Source organism: Homo sapiens, chromosome 6 (genome assembly GCF_000001405.40).
Source record: "Homo sapiens chromosome 6, GRCh38.p14 Primary Assembly".
NCBI classification, from domain to species: Eukaryota; Metazoa; Chordata; class Mammalia; order Primates; family Hominidae; genus Homo; species Homo sapiens.
The window spans coordinates 83,139,405-83,160,806 of record NC_000006.12 but is presented as its reverse complement, the minus strand read 5'-3'; the positions used below and the strand labels follow the sequence as shown (position 1 = coordinate 83,160,806).

The window sequence follows — 21,402 nt, the reverse complement described above, 5'->3', positions numbered from 1 at the left end:
TCTGTTCCAGAAGAAAAATAAGACACAATATAATAAATTAATACATATTTGATCTTGTGGATAAATTCTCATATTACCTTAACTACATTTTGATAAAACAATCTTACATAGCTTGCCCATTATTTTTAAAATTTATATATGCTTTTATCAACTTTTCCCCTATTCTTTTCAGTTCAATTCATTATCATCTAAGATAAAACTGCCTCCTTCATTCTAGGCTTGCCCAGCTCCAGTCCATTCTCCACACTACATAGCCAAAATAAGCATTCTAAAATTCAAGCCTAATAATATCACTTCTTTCCTTAGCTGTCCAAGTTCTCTAACACAGCTTACAAGGTCTTACATGGTTTAATCCCTTTCCAGCTTCTTCTTAACATTCTGCTCCAGCAATACCAATCTCTCCACACTTCAGACGTATCATGTCTGCAGCTGCCTCTATCTTCACTCTCCCAGCTGTCATTCTTCACCACCTCAGGTTAAGACTGCCCTCAGGGCCTGCTCTGACCTTCAGAGCTAGTAGGGATCTCTGCTATGTGGCCTCAGTGTGTCTTGTGCATGAGCCACCATAGTATGAGTATGTCTCCTTCCCTGGACTTGAAGCATGTGAGTTATGTACCCCATTGTCTCACATCTGGAGGTACTCAATCTGTTGACTGAATAGTCTGTTAATATATCCACATTGACCATTTACTTCCGATAACTCTGCTGTGCCAAAAGAATTACATTTTAGTAAAAATTAGGAATATTTCAACTTACACAAAAAACTTTTTAATTAGTCATAGATGTCAGTGACCAAAGCAAATGCACTTTCAAAAATAACCATTTAATATCCTTGCTTTTACTTACATCTGAAACTGAGGAAGGTTTTCAGAGGGCAATGCGAGAGCCAAATCCAAAAATTTGCAAGCAGAGAGATAGAGGTTTAACCACCGCTGGCTGTTATATGAAGTAGAGAAGCCATTACCTCCTGTGTACGTTGTCTCCAGACCAGCCACAGAGGGCCCTGAAGTCCTGTAAGCAGGAGACAGTGCTGTCAGCAGCTGGACCCATTTACTCACAGGAATTCCTGGAAAGATCTAAAAGTACCAGCTAATATTTTTCATAATCATCCTGAGATAAATGTGCCAGTAATTGCTAAGCAAGGTCATGATGAAATGTCACTGTTTTCAAATCAAAAATTCACTTTTCTTCTTTGAGAATGCAAAAACAGTACATAGACTGGGCGCAGTGGCTTCTGCCTGTAATCCCAGCATTTTGGGATGCCAAGGCGGGTGGAATGTTTGAGCCCAGGAATTTGAGACCAGCCTGGGCAACATGATGAAACCCTGTCTCTACAAAAAATACACACAGACAAAAAAAAAAAACACTAGCCAGGCATGGTGGCACACACCTGTGGTCTCAGCTGCTCAGGAGGCTGAGGTGGGGGAATCACCCGAGCCTGGGAGGTCGAGGCTGCAATGAGCCAGGATCACACCACTGCATTCCAGCCTGGGTGAAAAGATGAGACCCTGTCTAAAAAAAAGTAGTACATAACTTATATTATGTTCAAGAAATATAAAAATAAAAACTGTAAAAGCGAGAAACTTTTTTACTCAGTTTCTGCAAGGATGAGAAAATTCTCTATAATAATAAAGTTATTAGTACAGGAGATCCTTTTTATAAATCTACTACTGAAGAAGAAAATATATTCAAGAAACTTGGTCTTAAAGGAACTTTTCAATTTATAAATTTGTGTAAGTAAAAAATTGTATTTAGTCATACATTAATAAACTGCCTCTATTAAAAAGAATAAAAGTATATTAAATTGGGACCATCTGGAAGATCTGCATATACGAATAGCCTGGTTCCAGGTTACCTACCATAACAGGGTTGGCTATATGTTGCAATGTTTCAGAGACCAGATGTGACTTACCAAAACCAGCCTAGCTCATGTAGCTGAAACAATACTGTACTGCTTTAAATTAAATTTGTGTCTAGGGGCCCAGGGCAATGAATGCTGATGGCTTAATCCAATCTAAAGGGCTTAAGGAATAAGTAAAACTACATTATATCCAAACGTAATCAATTAGATAATAATAAATAAGTATTCAGAAAAAGACTATATTCTCCTAGATGCTGAGTAATATTCTGAATAATTTCAGGGTATTAAAAAATGGACAACAATATATTTAAATTACATATTACCGTGAAATATCTTCATCAGCAGTGAGTTCCTGCTCCATCAGTAAAAATACTTGTACCTGAAAATGGTGAAATGTTAAATGTTTATTTAAACTGGATATTTAATCCTTTCAAGTTATCTTTAAGTTGTATTTTCATTAACGCAAAAACAAATTTTAGAATACATTTTCAGAATCTTTTAAATTATACTTAGTTTCTGAAGGTAAAACTGCAAATTTAGCCACACAGAGCCTTGCTAATCATTTGGTGAAATCCAGTGAGATGAAGGTGAGCTTTTGTTTTTAGTGATTATGGAACAGAGTTAGTTATTAAAAAAGGAAAAATAGGTCTGGTGTGGTGGCTCACACCTGTAATCCCAGCACTTTGGGAGGTCGAGGTGGGCAGATCACAAGGTCAGGAGATCGAGACCATCCTGGCTAACATGCTGAAACCCCGTCTTTACTAAAAATACAAAACAAAATTAGCTGGGTGTGGTGGCAGGTGCCTGTAGTCCCAGCTACTCGGGAGGCTGAGGCAGGAGAATGGCCTGAACCCGGGAGGCAGAGCTTGCAGTGAGCTGAGATCTCGCCACTGCACTCCAGCCTGGGTGACAGAGCGAGACTCCATCTCAAAAAACAAAAAAAAAAGGAAAAATAAAAGAAAGATTAAAGCAATTATATTTGCAGGGAAACTATAAAGCTAGATTTTCAGAGAGAGATTCCTTTTCCATTGTTTACTCATTCCTCTTTCCTAACTCCCCAAATCATTCTGAGGAGGATAAGGATGACTGTGTACGGTTTGAGGAGGGGAACAGAAGGGTGTAGGTGGGACTTGGGAAGGTTTTACCGTTTGGTAGGTTACAAAATCTTTGTGAAAGTCTCTCTGAAGCAAGTTTAAATGGGGTAGGTGCTGCACTTCAAGAGTGAGTATATGTAATATGTCAGAGCAGTTAAATCCAGCTCAGCCATCTCTATCACTAGAGGTATTGCTACAGCTATTGTAAATGGGTCCAGCTGCTATTGTCAGGACTGTAGGCCATGACAGAGTTAAAAATGTAGTGTAGTACAGACTAAACACTAAACCAGATCCAAGAAAGTAATCATTCACAAGGAGCTGGCCATCCATCTATGTTGCATGTTTGTAAATTTAAGCTGTATGGAAATGGAATCTGACTTGTTTTACTATTTTCAACTGTAAAAAGCATCAGTAACTGGTTTAACTACAGCTCAGTTCTCTCCCAATATTCGTTAATATCTAGTAAGCACATGGAAACTAATCACTGTTTTATCATTTAGATTTATAACCTGACTGAATTAAAATTAACTCACAAGTTCTGTAATCATGGTAGGCCAGAGTGAGGTAAGATGTTGGGGAGACATTCTTAAAAGTAACACTCTGAAAAACAGGAACACTTGAGAATGGAGAGTTGGCACCTGTGGCAAACGGAGACTCTCAACCAATCTCTCTGAAAGAAATGCAGAGCATTTTCAATAACTAAATAATCTTTATCACATAAAACTTTCTATATTGTCGGTCCAGTACTCTCAAACTATCTGTAGTAAAGGATAAACTTTAAAAAAATTCAAAACTGTTGTAGATATTTTCATAAAACAACGAATAAGAGAACTCCAATTAAACAAAGATACACAAAATACAAATGTCATTTTCTTATTAAGCAGATTCTGTCAAATAGCAAATAAAAGTTTAAAATGTTTACTCTAAAGTTTTGTACTTATGGATGGGATAACAGACTGGTTACTGGTCCATGGACCATACTTTGAGTAGCACTGATCTAGTCAACTTAAACAAAAAAAATTGTAGGGACAAATAGTGTACATTTTGCATATCTGAAATTAGGCGTAAAAGGTTAGGAAACAAGGAATCATTTGTCTTCTGGGAGAAAAGAAAATTCTCCCTAGAGAGATGACAACTATCATGTTCCCATGTTGGCTCCTGAGGCTGGAGGCTTTAGAGTATGCTGACTCGAGCAGCAAATAATTCTGTTCTGGATAAATCCCCATTGTGGAGCTATTTGGTGGTACAGGGTGATGACACGTGTACTGATATCCTTCTGGATACAGAAGGTCACCAAACCCACTTGATGAAGTTACCGAAAATGTTACATAATCCCCCATGCAGTCCCCAAATTACAGATCTCCAGGTGTTACTTCTAGCCACAATTTCCTGGCTTTGCCTTATATTTTGGTCTTCTCAGAGTACACAAATTCTTGTCCACAAGGAGAACATGCTAACATGACTGCCCGCAGCAAAATCATCTTATACCTCATCCTCAAACATGAATTCCTAAGAAATTTGAACTAAACAATAAAATAGAGACCACATTTAGGCAAGTCCTACAACTCAGTGATGATTTCTTTTAGATGCCAGCATTGATAATTTTCATTGTTTCAGTAGAAAAATTTCTAATTCCCGATTGATCTACACTTGATATATTTTACCCCAACTTAGTATTTAGAGAAGTATTTTCTAAGGAACCAAAAACCTGTAGTTAGAGAAAAAATAAAGGGTTTTTCATTTTTTACCTTGTATATCTGGAAGATATTTCTGGTACTGGTCAATTTCACTGCTAAAAATAGCAAATGCTAATCTTTTAAGAAGCATAGCTCTCTGTTCTAGCTCCACATCACGGTTTGCAAAGAGATTAAGTGAACTGCTTTGAGCCACTGCTACACGAGCTGAAAAAGCAAGTGAAAGAGACTGTGACACTGTCATCTGAAGAAAGATTATTCTGTTGTTTTTTAAAATAGCTAGATGCTCTATGACATCCAAAACTGAGAGGAGCTTGGGGTACAAAACTTGATGCCCCTCTCTGGGGCAGACAGGCTGGCAAACAGATCCAACGTATATAAGCCAGAGGACCAAAATGGTAGGAATTGTGATGGAGAGGAAAATTTAGAACTGTAGGTTTTAGAAGGTAAAACCACTAATACCATTTATATAAAACCCTGAGGAAACCCTTTAATATTTGAGGCCATCTGCTTAAATCCTTCTCGTTACTTTAAAAATACCTTCTGGTGTAGCTTGCCTACCTACCTCTCCTTCCTCAAGTCATTACTCACCCTCAACTCACTCTGCTGTAGCCACACTGTCTTGCTTGTCATTCTCTCAGTGCACCAAGCGTGCTCCCATCCCAAGACCTTTGCAATTTATTTGTATTTTTCTTTGAGATGGTATCTTCCTCTGTCACCCAGTCTGAAGTGCAGTGGGCACAATCATGGCTCACTGCAGCCTCAACCACCTGGGCTCAAGCAATCCTCCTGCCTCCTGAGTAGCTGAGACTACAGGTACATACCACATTTGGCCAGTTTAATTTTTTTTTTTTTTTTTGTAGAGCTGGGGTCTCGCTATTTTGTCCAGGTTAGTCTCAAACTCCTGGCCTCAAACAATCCTAGTGCCTTGGCCTGTCAAAGTGCTAGGATTACAGGCGTGAGCCACTGCACCCAGCCAACCTTTGTAATTCTTGTTCCCTATTCCTGGAATATTTTGACCCTAGGCCTTCTCATGGTTGGCTTCTTTAGTTTCACCTTGTATATGAGCTATTTAGCTGTTATTTAAAATCCATCACACATTGCCCTATTTCCTTCACAACTTTTAAAATTTGATTAAGGTTAGCGCAATGCGTGGCCCACTGTTGTCTTTTAATAAAAATTTGTTGAATGGATAAATCTGAACCTTAAAACAACCTTATGAAGATAAAACAGATATCCTGCCCTTTTTCCAAATGAGAAAACTGTAGCTTTAGCTAAAGAATTTGTTAAAAAATATTACAGAATCATACAATGTTACTGCTATTTAATAACTTTCAAACGTTTTTTAAAACTCTTTTTTTTCAGATGAAATTCTAAATGGAATCCTAAACTATAAAAACAATCAAGAGTAGAAAGAGGGGGTGGGGGGTGATTCTGCCCTTCTTGGCACCCCTCTTTCTTCCTTCAGATGAAATAAACAGAGCCCCAGAGATTTAAAGTGACTTGTCTGATAGGCTGGATTCGACTGCCTGCCTTTTGCACTTCACCATCTGTCAGTCTCTCATTCACTGAATAATTATTTATTGAGTGCTATTATTATGTGCTGGGTATGATGCTGTGTACTGAGGAAATAATTTAGATTCAAATTAGACATGGACCCTTCCCTCCACTAGTTGCTGCAAAAGGACAAATAGTTTTACTTATTACTTATCACTTAAGTTGTCCTCTGTAAATTTTAAGATTATATTCCCATAGCGTACAGAAAGTAGTGTGCTTTCCCTAGAGCACATATCCCCACTGACACTTGACAAAGAGCTAATTCAGTAGTCTCCTAGTCTCCAGAAAAGAGTACAAGTAAATAGTAAGAAGGAACCATGTACAGGAAAGAACTTGGATTGTCATCCCGTAATACTCACTCATCAAATCTCTAAATGTTGTTTTATCATGTGTCATCAGATTGTCCATAATTGCTCTCCAACTGAAAGAGATAAGGATTACAACATGTAATTATGTTGTTACTGTTAAAGAACAGTATTCTAACTTTCCAGGGGAGTAGCTGATTTCATCAGACTGTGAGGTGCATCATGCTGAATACAAATAAGAGGGCAACTTACTGATTAACACAAGAGGCATCCATCTGAAAGAAACTGGGATCCATAAAGAGGTCAAAAGCTTCTTTTTTCCAAGCTCTCCGTGTGTACTGATACCCACTAAGACTGCTGAGCAGCTGGACACAAGCTCGATAACTAGGGGCATTATGTGCACTACAAGGAAGAAAAACCACCTTAACCTACGTGTCCTAACTTTAATCATCCTATCAAGTTATACATAAATGTTCACATTTACCTAAGACAGTGACATGAAGATATGAAATAGAAAGCACCATAAGAAAAATAATATATGAATTTTTTTAAACAATTATAATTCAAGGTAAAAATGCCATTTTATGATAATTCTAGAAATGGCAATAAGGGAACAGAACTTGTTTCTAACAGGCTATGAATTAATTTTAAAAACTATTTAAATAATGATAGTACCTGTGATTTCTGAGGTAGGGCACAACATAATGCATAATATTTACAAGTAAAGGAATAACCCGCTCCTTTTCATCACTATAGAAAACCATATCCAAAAGATGAGCCAAAACCTATGAAAACATAAAAAATGAAGAGTAACATATGAGGTGAAACTGACATCATCCCAAGGTACTGATTTTCAGTTTGTTAGAAAACCTAGACTACTTAAAATTAGAAAAATCTAAAATTAAATCTTCCTGAATCATTTTTATGTTAATGAGTTTTGCCACCATCTGCTTTTTTGTACATTGTTACTATAGGATATAAATATGGGCAAATCTTGCCATTTCCAACTGAGATAGGGAAGTACAAAAAAGAAAAGAGTTCAAGAACCTTCTGTGACAGTGAGTAAACAGTGAATTTAGTACTAGAAACTATAGTATTCTTTTTCCCTGACTCAGCTAAAATGTAGTTTAGGAAAAAAAAACAAACAATTGAACTGGGCTGTTCAAATTCCAACACTGTCAATTAACAGCTATTTGGCCTTAGTCCTATTGTTCTGATCTTTGTAAAGGTCACTATCCACATCTGCAAAGAGGAAACAAAATGACATGTGTATAATAGGGTATAAAAAAGAACCTGTCAGACAATGTACATGAAAATGTTTGGTAAATTGTAAAATACATTATAGTGGCAGGCTTTAGATCACCTCCACCCCTCCCCAGGCCGGGCGCGGTGGCTCATGCCTGTAACCTCAGCACTTTGGGAAGCCGAGGTGGGCGGATTACCTGAGGTCAGGAGTTCGAGACCAGCCTGGCCAAACTGATGAAACCCCGTCTCTACTAAAAATACAAAAATTAGCTGGGCATTGTGGCACACACCCGTAGTCTCAACTACTTAGGAGGCTGAGGGAGGAGAATAGCTTGAGCCCGGGAGGCAGAGGTTGCAGTGAGCTGAGATCACCCCACTTGACTCCAGCCTGGGCAACAAGAGTGAAACTGTCTCAAAAAAAAAAAAAAAAGAAAAAGAAAAAAACACATAAAAAAGAATAGGACATGGAGAAGGGAAGCAGTATCTAAATTTATCACTAATGTTTGGCAAACTAAATAATCCAAATACATACAAGGCCAAAACTTTATATTAATTCTATATAGTGATTTCTAGAAGCACAAAATAGTTTCTCAAATTAGAAATTCCTCTATAAAAATTACTTGCTAATTTTTAATAATGAAACAGTCTACTTGAGAGTTCATGTGAAAAAGCTTAATATTTACCTCAGAGAGTAATGTCAATGCATGGACACTATATACAGAAGGAGTTATGTTTGCGGTTTCCATTGCAGGTGATAACATATCTATAAATAAGAGAAAATTAAAGATATGGCTAATTCCCACTGAAAATAAATTTTATGTGTGTGTGTGTGTGTGTGTATTATTTTTATATATGTATATATATATGTATATGTATATATATATTTTTCCCACTGAAAAAAAGTTACTTGTTAGACATGAGAAAAGGGATAAATTTGTGGTACTTATAGTGCTAGGCAAAATGATTTCTTAGTAAATATATGCCTGCTTACAGATAATAAACCTAAATGTTTGACAAGAATACCTTCAACATCAGATTCCAAATTGGTTCCATCTACCATTATTTTGGGAGAAGGCTTAACTTCAAGATTTCGTCGCAGCCATGTTGTCTGTTCCAGAGAAGAACCAGCAATTGCACCAATTGCATCCACTATTTTGTGAGTTACATCCTAAAAAAATAAGGAAGAACAACTATGTATGGTACACACATGCACACTAGTTATGAACTTCTGTAGTTTATATTTCTGATAATAGATATTTTACAATAGACTTGTTGATTCCCATAGAATGTTCAGAGTTGAAAGAAACTTCAGTTTATTTTATTTGACTCTCTCATTTTCAAATTGAGGGCACTGAGAAACAGTTTTGGCAACAGCTCTTAGACTGCCTTACCTGAAGGTCTCTTTGGTCTTTTTTATTTTCCAAACTAGGGTTTTTCATAATAAACTCATTCAGAACCCTAAAAGGGCCAAAGAGAAAACAGAAACGGGAAATATCAGGCTAAAAGAAACTAATGCGATCTAATTTCTCACGATGAGTTAAGCGGCTTAATGGTCTTGATTTCCATTTTAAATATTTAATATATATACATATCCTATGACTCAACTGACATTCATAAACATACTCATGAAAAGACACTGTATAAAGATGCTCAAAGCATCTTTTGTAAGAGCCCCAAAGTGGAAGGAACCCAGATGTCCAGCAAGAGCAGAAAAGATAAATTGTGGAATGTGGCCAGGCGTGGTGGTGCATGCCTGTAGTTCCAGCTACTTGGTAGGCTAAGGCAGGAGAATTGCTTGAGGCCAAGGCTGCAGTGTGCTATGATCATGCTGTGAATAACCACTGCACTCTGGCCTGGGAAACCTGGCAAGATCCCATATCAAAGAAAAAACAAATTGCAGAATGTTCAAATACTAAACAACAATGAAAAATTACAGATATGTGAATTACATAAATGAATCTCATAAACATATGTTGAACAAAAGAAGCCGACACAAAATATTTATATATACTTATAGTTCAAAAACAAGGCAAAATCCATCTGTGGTGTTAGAATAGTGGTTACATTTGGGGAGATAAAAGAATAGTAATTGGGAGAGGTGTGGAGGGACACATGGTGTTTTATTTCTTAATTTGGGTTTGTAATGATATAGTGGTATGTTGACTTTTTACAAACTTTGCATTTGTAGAGTTGTGTACTAATTATTTGTGTATTTTTCTATGTGTGTTTTATATATAAACAGAAAAGTTTAAAAAATCTTAAATTGTAATACAGAAATGATTTCTTCCCATAACACATTAAAAATAGTTCATGAAGAAAAAAATTTCCATTTTCATTATTTGCTAAGAGTCTACTCAATATTCACTCTGACATGGTTTTTTAAAAGATAAATTATATGCACAATTACTTCCAAACTAATATGTAAAATGAAACTAAAGAGCAACCTTCATATCAATATCTATTTTTTAATTAGGTAATTTTAGAGGATCAGTACAATGGTTGGCAAAAAGGTAAACTGACAAATTTTAAAAGGAAATAAAGTTTCTAGTATAACTGAAAATGTTCAACTTTCAACTTTTTGTTTTAACATTCAGAATATGCACATGTTGAAAAGGAAGAGGATCCTTCATTCTGAAAGGAAGAAAAGGCATGTAAGGAAAGGGGAACAGCTACAGATCACAACAAATGAACTTAATTTTTTGATGAAATTAGCCAGCAGGGTTATTTGGTGATGATTCCAACACCTGTACATACATTCCCTCTCTGAACCTTATGACAACTCCTGTGTAGCTGGGACTACAGGCACGTGTGACTATGCCTGGCTAATTTTTAAATTTTTTGTAGAGACACAGTCTCCCTATGTTGCCTAGGCTGGTCTCAAACTCTGGGCTCAAGCAGTCCTCTTGCTTCAGCATCCCAAAGTGCTGGGATTGCAGGCATGAGCCACCGCATGTGGCTTCTTTCTTTTCATGATCAAATATCCTCAAAGAAGAATCAACACTTACTTTCCCACACTAAGCATTTGCTGTTAACACATCTGTGCTGCTACCTCTCCAAACCCTCTCTCCAAAATCATCAGATAACTGGTGATTGGACAATTAGGATGCCTGTCCAGATTGTCAACAAACATAGCCTTTTATTATTCCTCACCTTCCTTAACCTCTCTGTAGGTGTTAACCATGCTCTCTTAACCTCCCTTTGGTTCTGGACAATCAAATGCCTGGTTTTCTTCTTTTTGATACTTCCCTTTCTATCTCCTTTGCTGGCCCCTTCTCCTTCTTTATCCTGTTCTTTCAATCCCATCAATAGTTGAAACCATCCCCACACTTCCCACTTGAAATAGAATTCCTAGTCTAGCCTCTTTCCCCTCTGATCTAGCCTACTACTACTAACATGCCAGTCATGTCTCTCCTCAAAAACCTGCAACCGCTCCCACTCCCTTTCAAGACCACATTCTTTAAAATAAAATTCAAGATCCTGCCCCATCTAGCTCCCATCTCCCTTTTCATTCAGTCTTATTTTCCACTATACCACTGCCTGTGCCCTGCTCTATTACCAAATCAGACAAGGTACTTTGCCCCAGAATACCCTTCCCCTTCCTGTTTCACAAAGGCTTTCTGTGCCCACCACCTCTATTCACTTACCAAGTATTTACTGGGGACCTATTAGGAATCAAGAATAATGGCAAGCAAGAAAGAGAGACTGACTATGACATCCCAGTACTTGCAGTCATAGGTGACTAACATTTATCAAATAATCATATAAATCACTAAGATAAATCAGAAAACTTCAAGACACAAAGAGAAAAATTTTCCCAGGCTGTTTAGGTTTGGGGCCCAGCTCAAGTGTCCCTCCTCTGTGAAGTTCCCCTTCAGCCATGCTACATCACCCCCTCCCCTTTCCATTCCATACTCTCCACCACCACGGAAACAGCTACTGTTGTAACAGTTTTATGTTAGTGTAGTTACATTTTGTATATGTATAAACATAGACTGTTTCCTCCTCTCACCCTGCCTCCCACTTTTTTTTTTCTTAAACAGGCCTTATACATCTAGTTTTGCATCTCAAGAACACTATGAGAAGGTAGAGAGATCACTGTCACCTAAAATATCTATTACTAATACTTGGCAACTAGGACAATTAACATTATCCTTTTATTTGAAATAATATTAAGTGAAATTGCTTACCCAAGTATAAGAAACTGCCCTGGAGCTGGAAGACTCAGTTGTATAGAGTCTTTCAGAAGTATCAACAGTGACGCCCAGCTATCCACTAAATTGGGCACTGGAATTCTGCAAGATAATATAGTTTATACAAAAGCCACAATAAACTATGGTTTTCTACTAGTTTGTGGAACATTCTCTAAATTTTTATAGACAATGATAGAACAAAATTCCTAAAAACTTTACATTTTTACTAACGTTAATTAGTAAACCAACACAGTTGAAATATCAATGCAATTTCTTTCTTTTTTTTAAAACAGAGATGGAATTTCACCATGTTGCCCAGGCTGGTCTCAAACTTCTGGGATCAAGCGATCCACCTGCTTTGGCCTCCCAAAGTGTTGGGATTATGGGCATGAGCCACTGCATCTGGCCCCAGTGCAATTTCTTTTTTCTTTTTTTGTCTTTTTTTTTGAGATGGAGTCTCACTCTGTTGCCCAGGCTGGAGCACAGTAGCGCGATCTCGGCTCACCGCAGCCTCCACCTCCCCGGTTCAAGCAATTCTCTCCTGCCTCAGCCTCCTGAGTAGCTGGGACTACAGGCGTGCGCTGCCATGCCCAGCTAATTTTTGTATTTTTAGTAGAGACAGGGTTTCACCATGTTGGCCAGTATGGTCTTGATCTCCTGAGTTCGTGATCCGCCCGCCTCGGCCTCCCAAAGTGCTGAGATTACAGGCGAGAGTCACCGCCCCTAGCCTGCAATTTCTTAATCTAGAAATTTTTCTATTGAAATCCCATTTATCACATGGGATCTCAAAAGTAAAATACAACTGCAGTAATTCTCAGTTTAACTACTGATACCACAGTCATGTACTCCCTAGCCTGGTCTCTCCATTTCCCTCTTAGTTCTTTTTCCTTCACCTTGTACGTCTCTACCTCATATTATGGAGGGCTGTCAACTGAACATTAGTCTTTAACCTGTAAAAATAATGAAGACTATCTTTGTTTCAGTCTGACCTTAACCCTAACACCTCTCTGTATATAAGTTCAGATTTTAGGCAGTGCTTGCTCTAGGTCACAACCAGTTTAAATACACTCAATAGCCTGACCTTATAATGCTAGTCATAGATTACAAATGGAGGCTGAGTTTGGTGAATAAAATGGAATTATCTTATAAAGGAGGATGAAGAGTCAGGTTCTTGAGTAAGAAGTTATAAAAACTCAAATCATAACTTCTGTTCACAGGTCAGTTAAACGCAAAATGGAATATGATAGTAAGAAGATATTTCATGTAATCATTCCTAACATTAAAAAAGCAGAATGAATTACTGTATGTTCACCTATACCAAAATAATGGATTCAGTGGCAATATGCATAGTTTCGAGAGTAGGTTCAACTTTTCATTTATGTTTAAATGATTTTATCACAATTCAGTGTTTTACTATCTAGGAATCTTCAATATCCTTAGGTCTTTAGGTTTGTAGGATATACATGGCTGGGTCGTTAAGACACTCATTACTTATATTAATATATCCATAAATAATGTTTCTCTGTTTCTAGCAACATAGTAAGGACAGATCAATATCAGTAATCTTACCTTTGAATATAAGCATAGAAAAACTGAAGCATGCAGACTTCCAAAGAAAGATGTTTCTATAAATAAAAGAAATCAATTTTGTAGTGAAGAAGAATACTGCCTTTGCTTTTTCATTGTTGCAACTACTCTGTATCTTACTGCCAATTTTTAATTAAAAAAATTGAAAGAACAAAATCATCAATTTTTCATTAATGAGCCATGCAGTTCTCTTCCACTCAGTAGGAAAAATTCAGAACACATGAGCTATTTTAAAAGTTGAAAACAGATGGAAGGAATGGAAAGACTGTCAATTTTTCCTTCCATATATCAGAAGTTGATAGTCCACCACTCACTTTTAAATGATTCATGTACTCTATAAGTATCAACACTATTTTAGGTAGCTTATGCTTGGTGCTATCAGAATGAGGTTGAGATTTTTAATGAAATGTGTATTTGAGTCTTATTACACATATCTGTTCAATTAGTGTAGTTCAAATTTGTGATCAATTCCTAAGAGCTTTAAATATAGCCACTAAATTAAAGATAGTGTTGAGTGTAATATATAATAAAAATAAAACACCTGCCCTTGGAAATTAACAAGAGGCCAGAGAATGATATTGATGACCACTGACGTTTATCAATTTGTGCTTTTTTAGTCCCAACTATTTCCTTGAAGGTTTCCTGTCCAAAAATCAAGTGTCTAATAGATTCAGAACTTAATAAGGGGACACAGGTTGGTGGGGCAGGACAGTGGATTGGCTCTAATTTGTTTTCATATCCCTCATGTGTTGCTCAATGTCTGGCACAAATAGGTACTCAAAATACAAACTAAAAATCCTATGACAAATGCCCCAGTTTTTATTAAAAACTTAATAAGGACACTGACTATTCACACACATCTTACTCCCTTTGGAAACACAAGATAAAAGGAAAACATCATTCAACATTTTCAGATATATATCATAATTCTTTAAAGGATGTGATTAGGTCTATTTTGGCTTGGCTCAAAGTCTAATGTTTGTAGTTGGTAAATACTTTCTGGGAAAATATGACCTCTTGGTATTGCTTGAACAAAGAGCAGAAAAAGTAGAAAAGTCCGTAATATTCCTAATTTGTAGACTTTTATTTTTGCCTAGAAACACAGCAATGTGTGTGCAGAGACTATGTCATTCATAGTGTAGCACTTGCATAGCACAGTATTATACATGGTCAAGAAATGACATTGACTAGAACTAAGGTTATAGCAAAATTTGGGGAGTTCACAGAATTAAGAGATTCATTCAGAAAAGAAAGCAATAAAGAAGCTATGAAAAATGGCAACAACTGAGAGAAGCAAATCTTGAGCTCTGGCTTATGTTCTTTAAATGACCAGAAAAATCTCTCCTGAGAATTTAGTCACATGGTCCCTGACTACCTTTGAGGTACATATGAAGATATGAGCAGTTAACTGCTCTTCACTGGCTACCGAATAATCAGAATAGCAAGTCACTACAAATATTGATAATTGTTTTGATTGAAGCAGTGTGAGGGCCACATGCAGTCATCTCTGCAATCTGTACTATATTGAAAGGACATTATTGTACAAAAAAAAATCTTACCAGCATAATTTCTGAAACAGAATTGTAAACACATGTGAAGAAGAGTTTTTTCTTACCTTGTCCTTGGCTATGGCTGGTGGCTGCTTTAAAACTTCTTTTACAGTCTGGATAACAGTTTCTGCTCTCATGACACTGATTGAACGAACCAATTCCACTAATAAAAGCTGTTCTTCACTGGCTGCAGGAATGACCTAGGTAATAAATCATTGTATGTATGTATGTATGTATATAAGTCTTTTAGGGGAAGTTACAGAAGAGAGTATTTTATGATCTCTTCTTTTTTTATATTTTTTAAATGGAGATGAGGTCTTGCTATTTTGCCCAGCCTGGTCTCAAACTCCTGTGCTCAAAATGATCCTCCTGCCTTAGCCCCCCAAAGTGCTAGGATTACAGGCATGAGCCACTGCACCCAGCCCTGGCCTCTATTTAATATAAAGACCTCTTCAAGTCCCTTGACTACTTTAGGCAAATTTTACTTATATATATATATATTATATATATATATATTATTATATATATATATTATATATATACTTTTAAATATATATATTATATATATAAAAGTAAAATTTGCATATATATATATATATACAATATATGTATATATTTTTTGAGATGGGGTCTTGCTCTGTCTCCAAGGCTGGAGTGCAGTGGCTCAATTACAGTTTACTGCAGCCTCAACCTCATAGGTTTAAGCGATCCTCTTGCTTCAGCCTCCTGAGTAGCTGAGACCACAGGCATGCCACTATGCCCAGATAATTTTTTAATTTTTTTGTGGAGACAGAGTCTCCCTATGTTGCCCAGGCTCAAAATTTATTTATTTTTCATCAATAAAGGTACATCACCTCAAAAAATAAAACAGAACAATAAGCTTTATAAGAAAAAATAGTATTGTCCTATATCCCTTCCCATGCCCCAAAGCAACCATGCTCAACTCTTTATGTTCTTTTCCATTACGTCTAAATAACATATACTACTATTTTTCCTATTTCCTGATTTTATTTTCAATTTTAGACATTATCTATTCATTACTTATTTTGGAAGACAAAGATGTAGCTCTCTTATACTTTTCTACCTATCCTCTCAACATTGTTATATCATATTTTTATTTAAATCCATATCCAATGTTCACATGATTATTTTTGGTTGCAATGTGCATTGTACTAGCATTGCATTTGTTTTATGGTACAACTTTTTGTTTTTCCTAGAGCTAATAAACTGCTTTGTTTGCTTCATTTTCTCTGTACCTATTAAAAATTCATCCCTACATACTTCAACTGTAAATCTCTAATTACATATTCAAATACTTCAGGTAATTAATTTGTATCTTTTCCTCCCTCTCTTCTCTTTTTTCCTTGAGACATTTCTGTTAGATGTCTTTTTATTCTACCCTGGGTTGATACTCTCTAGGTTTGCTACACAGTGTCATCTTGATATCTCTCCTGTTACCATTATCCCAGAGATTCCCCTTGCTTTCTCTTTTGTGTTGCAGCCCATTTCTTGGATCCCCTGTCTTCTTCATTCTTGGTTTATTCCTCCTCCGGTGGAGTTACATCTTCCAGTAGCCAAGAAAAAGTGAACTCATGGCAATTTTCCTTGTTGTTGTTGTTGTTGAGACATTGCATAGCTGAAAATGTTTGAGTGACAGTTTGGCTGGAGATAGAATTATGGGTTGAAACTAACTTCCCATCAAAATTCCCAGTGTTGCTGTTAACAAATCTCATCTTTATTCTTTGGAATGTGACCAGTATTCTTTCATTAGAAGCTTTTAGGATCTCTTCTTTATCTCCAGTGTTTTGAAATTACATGCTAATCTTTGTGCAGATCTCTTTTCACAGTGGTAGGCACAATCTGGAAACATATTTACTTCATTCCTGAGGACTTTTATTGTATTATTTCTTTGTATTTTTCTCCTCTTGTTTTTAAATTCTGCAGAAAGATACTGGGTCTCTAGTATCACTCCTCTAATATTCTTATCTCTTTTCTCGTATTTTCCGTATCTTTAAATTTGTATTCCATTTCTGATATTTATCCACTTTCTGTTCCAACCCTCCTAAAAATATTGCTTTGTTTCTGTTGCAGAATTTTTAATATCCATGAAAAATTTTAATTTTGGGAATGGTCTTTCCTATGATCTCCCTTTCTACTTCATGGTCTCACCCACTTAAGGACATTACTATTATTTACATTTTCTTCTGTTATCTGCACTGTTTGACTTTTTAAAATCTAGTTGTTTCAGTCTGTCTATCACATTAGAGACTTTATGTGACTGGTAATCCTTGGCTCTCTATTTCTATTTAAATATGAGGAATAATATAGCTAATATTTACACAGTGATTATTAAGTGCTAGGCATTGCTCTATGTGAATTACATATTATCAGCTGTAATATACCTGATAATTCTCCTGCCTCAGCCTCCTGAGTAGATAGGTCTACAGGCAAATGCCACCACACTTCACTATTTTTATTTTTTGTAGAGACAGGGTCTCATGAGGTCTTGAATTCTTGGCCTCAAGCAATCCTCCCGCCTTGGTCTCCCAAAGTGCTGGGATTATAGCTATGAGCCACTGTGCCTGGCTTCAACATGCCATGTTAAATCAAATGTTCTTTACTGCTTTTAAGTAGTCCAGGATTTAAATTTTCAATGTGAGTGATATCTACTACTGAATCTTCACATGCAAAATAATGTAATATGGTGTGAATGTTTATTTTGATTAATTTAAAAATGTAATGTAAAATCAGCACAAAATCAGGAATTGTTAGGTGGAAAAAATCATATATTTTATATAAATGTAAGTTATATAATAGCCTTACTATTCTAATGTGCCATGATTTGTTTTCAATATAGAGCATTTCTCTTGAGCTTTGAAACTCAGAAAGCAACAAAATTCACATATATAACTCAGCTAAGACCAACAGCAAAGTGAGACCTCATCTCTACCAAAAAAAGTAGAAAAAAAAATTTGTGAATTATATTTAGAAACAAGAACTCTTTGAACTATCACATCATAGTAAACTATAGTCAAGATGAAAACTTTTCTCCATATCCTTGCTTTGTACCCTAAATGACTAGCACTTGAAAAATATACTGTACCATATTACCATTTCTATTTAGTTTTAATATCATACTAATTTCTCTTTTTTCACATATCTTTTATATTTGACCTCAAATTTTATTTTATTTTTATCTTTATTTATTTATTTTTTGAGGAAGAGTCTTGCTCTGTTGCCCAGGCTGGAGTGCAGTGGCATGATCTTGGCTCACCACAACCTCCGCCTCCCAGGTTCAAGCAATTCTCTTGCCTCAGCCTCCCGAGTACCTGGGACTACAGGCGTGTGCCACCATGCCTGGCTAATTTTTGTATTTTTAGTAGAGACGGGGTTTCACTATGTTGGCCAGGCTGGTCTGGATCTCCTGACCTCATGATCCGCCCTCCTCGGCCTCCCAAAGTGCTGGGATTACAGGTGTGAGCCACCGTGCCTAGCCTTGACCTCAAATTTTAATCAATACTTAAAGAAATTAAGGCAACAATTTATCTAAAGCTGTCGACAGACTTTTGCTTTACACTCGAATCTACCCCGGCCCCACTGCAATATATGGAGAAGTGGAAATTAGCATGTACTCACCAAATGCAAAAACAAAAAGTGCCAAATGTCTAAATACATACCTTGGTCCTGGTGGTTGTTTTATTCTGTCTTCTTTCATTCCACACAAATGCAATGGCAGCCATAAAGTGAACACCATGATTCATTGAAATGGGGCCCAACAATTCAAGAATCTGTTGTCTCAAGTTCTAAAACAATTTGAAGCAAATGAAAGTGAAACTTTTAAAAAATGAAAAAACATTTACAACTAGACTGCGTTTTTGGTTTCTTTGAAATAATATAGTACTTATAGGTTTTACTATCTAAATAACACTAGAGGAAACTTTAATAACGTTAAGAGCTACAATATGACTATAATTCTAAAAGAAAAACAAATCCTATAAAATGACGGCTACCAATCAGCCAAATAAAAGTCTATTCACTGTGAAAAGATACTAGAAAAACACAACACATATAAAATTCAACTTAGTAAGTCTGATATAGAGTCCTTTAAAAAAAGGTGAGGGATTCTATAATTATAAAACACCTTCTGTTTTATTTAAGTAAAACGAAACATAAAAAGTATAGTTTAATCCAAGCATCAAAACTTAGATCAAATGTTCTAATGGTTCCCACCCTTACCCTTTTCCCACTTCCCTATGTGTTCCCTTGGATCCCTGATCCAGGTGGTCTGGTCTAGGAGCAAAATTAGGTTATTGAAGGATATCAATTTGACAGCTTGACATGGCACAGCATTTGGAAAATATCAGAGTGCAAGGAAGAAAAAAAATTTAAAAATCAATAAGTTATCCCACCATCCTGAGATAATTACTGATAAAATGCAAACTTTCTTTATTCCTTTTTCTGCAGATAACATTTTTTACATAATTGAAAATATGGTATTTGTTCAATTATGTAACATCCCTGTTTCACTGAGCTTTTGAGCCCTTCTCCATCCAATAAGAATTCTTCAAAACCATGAATATTAGTGGCTATGTAATGAAACATTGAAAGGATAATTTAAACATTCCCTAATTAATTGTTTAGGATCTCTGTTTTTTCTGCCATTAAATAATACTATAATGAACACTTTGTATATACATCTTTGTATAATTTCAATTACCTTAGAATTCATTCCTAAAGTAGATTACTAGGTCAAAGACTATGAAACCTTTAAAGCTCTCTATACATATTGCTAAATTGTTTTCTAGGAGGGCTTTGCATATTAAAATGTCAATTTAAAATGCCCTAAAAAAAAAAGGAATAAAGTTATAACATGTATGAATGAACCTTAAAAATATGTCACGTGAAAGAAGCTAGACACAAAAGACCAAATATTGTTATCATTCCATTTATATGAACTTTTTCAGAAAAAGCAAATCAATATATGGAGAGAATAGATTCGTGGTTGATTGGGATTAGGGATGGGAACAGGGAGTGAGTGCAAATGGCCATGAGGAATCTGTGGTAAAGAACATATTCAAAAATTGGACTGGGGTGATAGTTCACAACTCTGTAAATTTACTAAAAAAATTACTGAATTGTATACTTAAAAATGGGCAAATTCTATGATACGTCAGCCATAGCCCAGGAAAACTGTTAAAAATTATTTGATAATTAGCAGAGTCCTGTAAATACTACACAAATTATTCACATATTCTGAATATAATCTTTGGGAAGGTCCTCAGACTCTTGAGCTCTACAGATTAAATATGAATTGTCTAACCTTTGTAGCTCCAAGATTAATAGTGGTAAGAGATGCGGATGCGGCAATAGTCATCTTTTCTGAAGAATCAGCTTGATGCAGTATGCTCCAAAGCAGTGTCACAGAGGACATGATCATATGAAGGATTGAGAGGATTCCACTGCGTGCTTCAAACAAGTGTTTCTGGTCTACACTGACCAAAAGCTATTAACAGTTGGGGGAAAAGAAACATATTACTTACTGAGATTTACAAATGGAAATTTATTAGACCTCACAGTCTTTCAAAAGAAGTCAAATATTTGTGCAGTCTTACTTGGTGATACTGTGTAGTTGGATCCAACAAACAGTAATGGATAATGGCTGTAATCCCTTCCAAAAGAGTAAGAATCATATCTGGTGGAATAATTGATGCCATCCACAGAGGCCTGAAGTAAAATGCATTCATTTAAACACAAGTTTTATGATAGTATAGTTCATATTTTATCACTAGTAAATACTCACAATGTGTCAGGTACACAGAAGATGTGCAATAAATACTAGATTAACAAATGGCTAAAAGAATAAATCAGGGGCTTTTATTTCCTAATCTATAAAATAAGTGAGTTGGACTAAATGTACTAGAGTTCTTTTTGGCTAAAGAATTCTATACAAAATAAACAAATGATGGCTAGTGACTCTCTAGCCACTGAGGAATGGCAGGCATATTAATATTAAACAATACAGGCAGTTTTCTTATTATTTTACATGTAGAAACTAAGGTTATTCTGAAGAAAAATGACAGTCTACTGGAACTAATTTTTCAGACTTCATTTTGAGCATAGAGACTCAGATCGAATTTTGTCACTAAACCATGAAAATCCAAAACAAGAAATAAAATTGGATGGAAAAGATTTGTAAATTTAAATTATTTTCAGTCTGAAATTGATTTGCACTTAGATAAAACAGACAAAACCTGGGAAACCCTTTTCTAAGCTTCCCATTAGTTTTGCCAGCTCAGGCAAGAAGAGAAGAGCATTGAAA

At 36.0% G+C, this 21,402-nt stretch overlaps 2 protein-coding genes across 57 annotated transcripts in view; one reads left to right on the top strand and one right to left on the bottom strand.

The window, feature by feature from the left end:
- PGM3 (phosphoglucomutase 3) overlaps nt 1-12,102 on the top strand; it is a 45,196-nt gene extending 33,094 nt beyond the window's left edge. For 2 of the 7 annotated variants that reach the window (XR_007059271.1, XR_001743468.3), the window contains 2 exons: nt 7,268-7,354; nt 8,750-10,079. The gene's annotated coding sequence lies outside the window, so the exon portion shown is untranslated. Of the gene's footprint in view, nt 1-6,697 lie in introns of all 7 variants that reach the window. The other 5 variants (XR_007059272.1, XR_007059273.1, XR_942480.3 and 2 more) reach the window with 3 other exon arrangements.
- The window catches only part of DOP1A (DOP1 leucine zipper like protein A), a 103,680-nt gene that overhangs the window by 10,544 nt on the left and 71,734 nt on the right, over nt 1-21,402 (bottom strand). For 33 of the 50 annotated variants that reach the window (NR_169791.1, XM_017010559.2, XM_017010564.2 and 30 more), the window contains 16 exons: nt 20,696-20,807; nt 20,404-20,586; nt 18,761-18,886; nt 15,149-15,283; nt 13,516-13,571; nt 11,944-12,048; nt 9,148-9,214; nt 8,780-8,924; nt 8,440-8,519; nt 7,187-7,296; nt 6,764-6,913; nt 6,566-6,627; nt 4,704-4,856; nt 3,489-3,625; nt 2,185-2,240; nt 847-1,011 (listed from right to left, as the gene is read on the bottom strand). Coding sequence is in view for 48 of the 50 variants with exons in the window: in XM_017010559.2 (XP_016866048.1) it covers nt 847-1,011; nt 2,185-2,240; nt 3,489-3,625; nt 4,704-4,856; nt 6,566-6,627; nt 6,764-6,913; nt 7,187-7,296; nt 8,440-8,519; nt 8,780-8,924; nt 9,148-9,214; nt 11,944-12,048; nt 13,516-13,571; nt 15,149-15,283; nt 18,761-18,886; nt 20,404-20,586; nt 20,696-20,807 (1,842 nt within the window). In the remaining 2 variants the exon portion in view is untranslated. Of the gene's footprint in view, nt 1-343; nt 706-846; nt 1,012-2,184; nt 2,241-3,488; nt 3,626-4,703; nt 4,857-6,565; nt 6,628-6,763; nt 6,914-7,186; nt 7,297-8,439; nt 8,520-8,779; nt 8,925-9,147; nt 9,215-11,943; nt 12,049-13,515; nt 13,572-15,148; nt 15,284-18,760; nt 18,887-20,403; nt 20,587-20,695; nt 20,808-21,402 lie in introns of all 50 variants that reach the window. The other 17 variants (XM_017010571.2, XM_047418442.1, XM_047418443.1 and 14 more) reach the window with 6 other exon arrangements.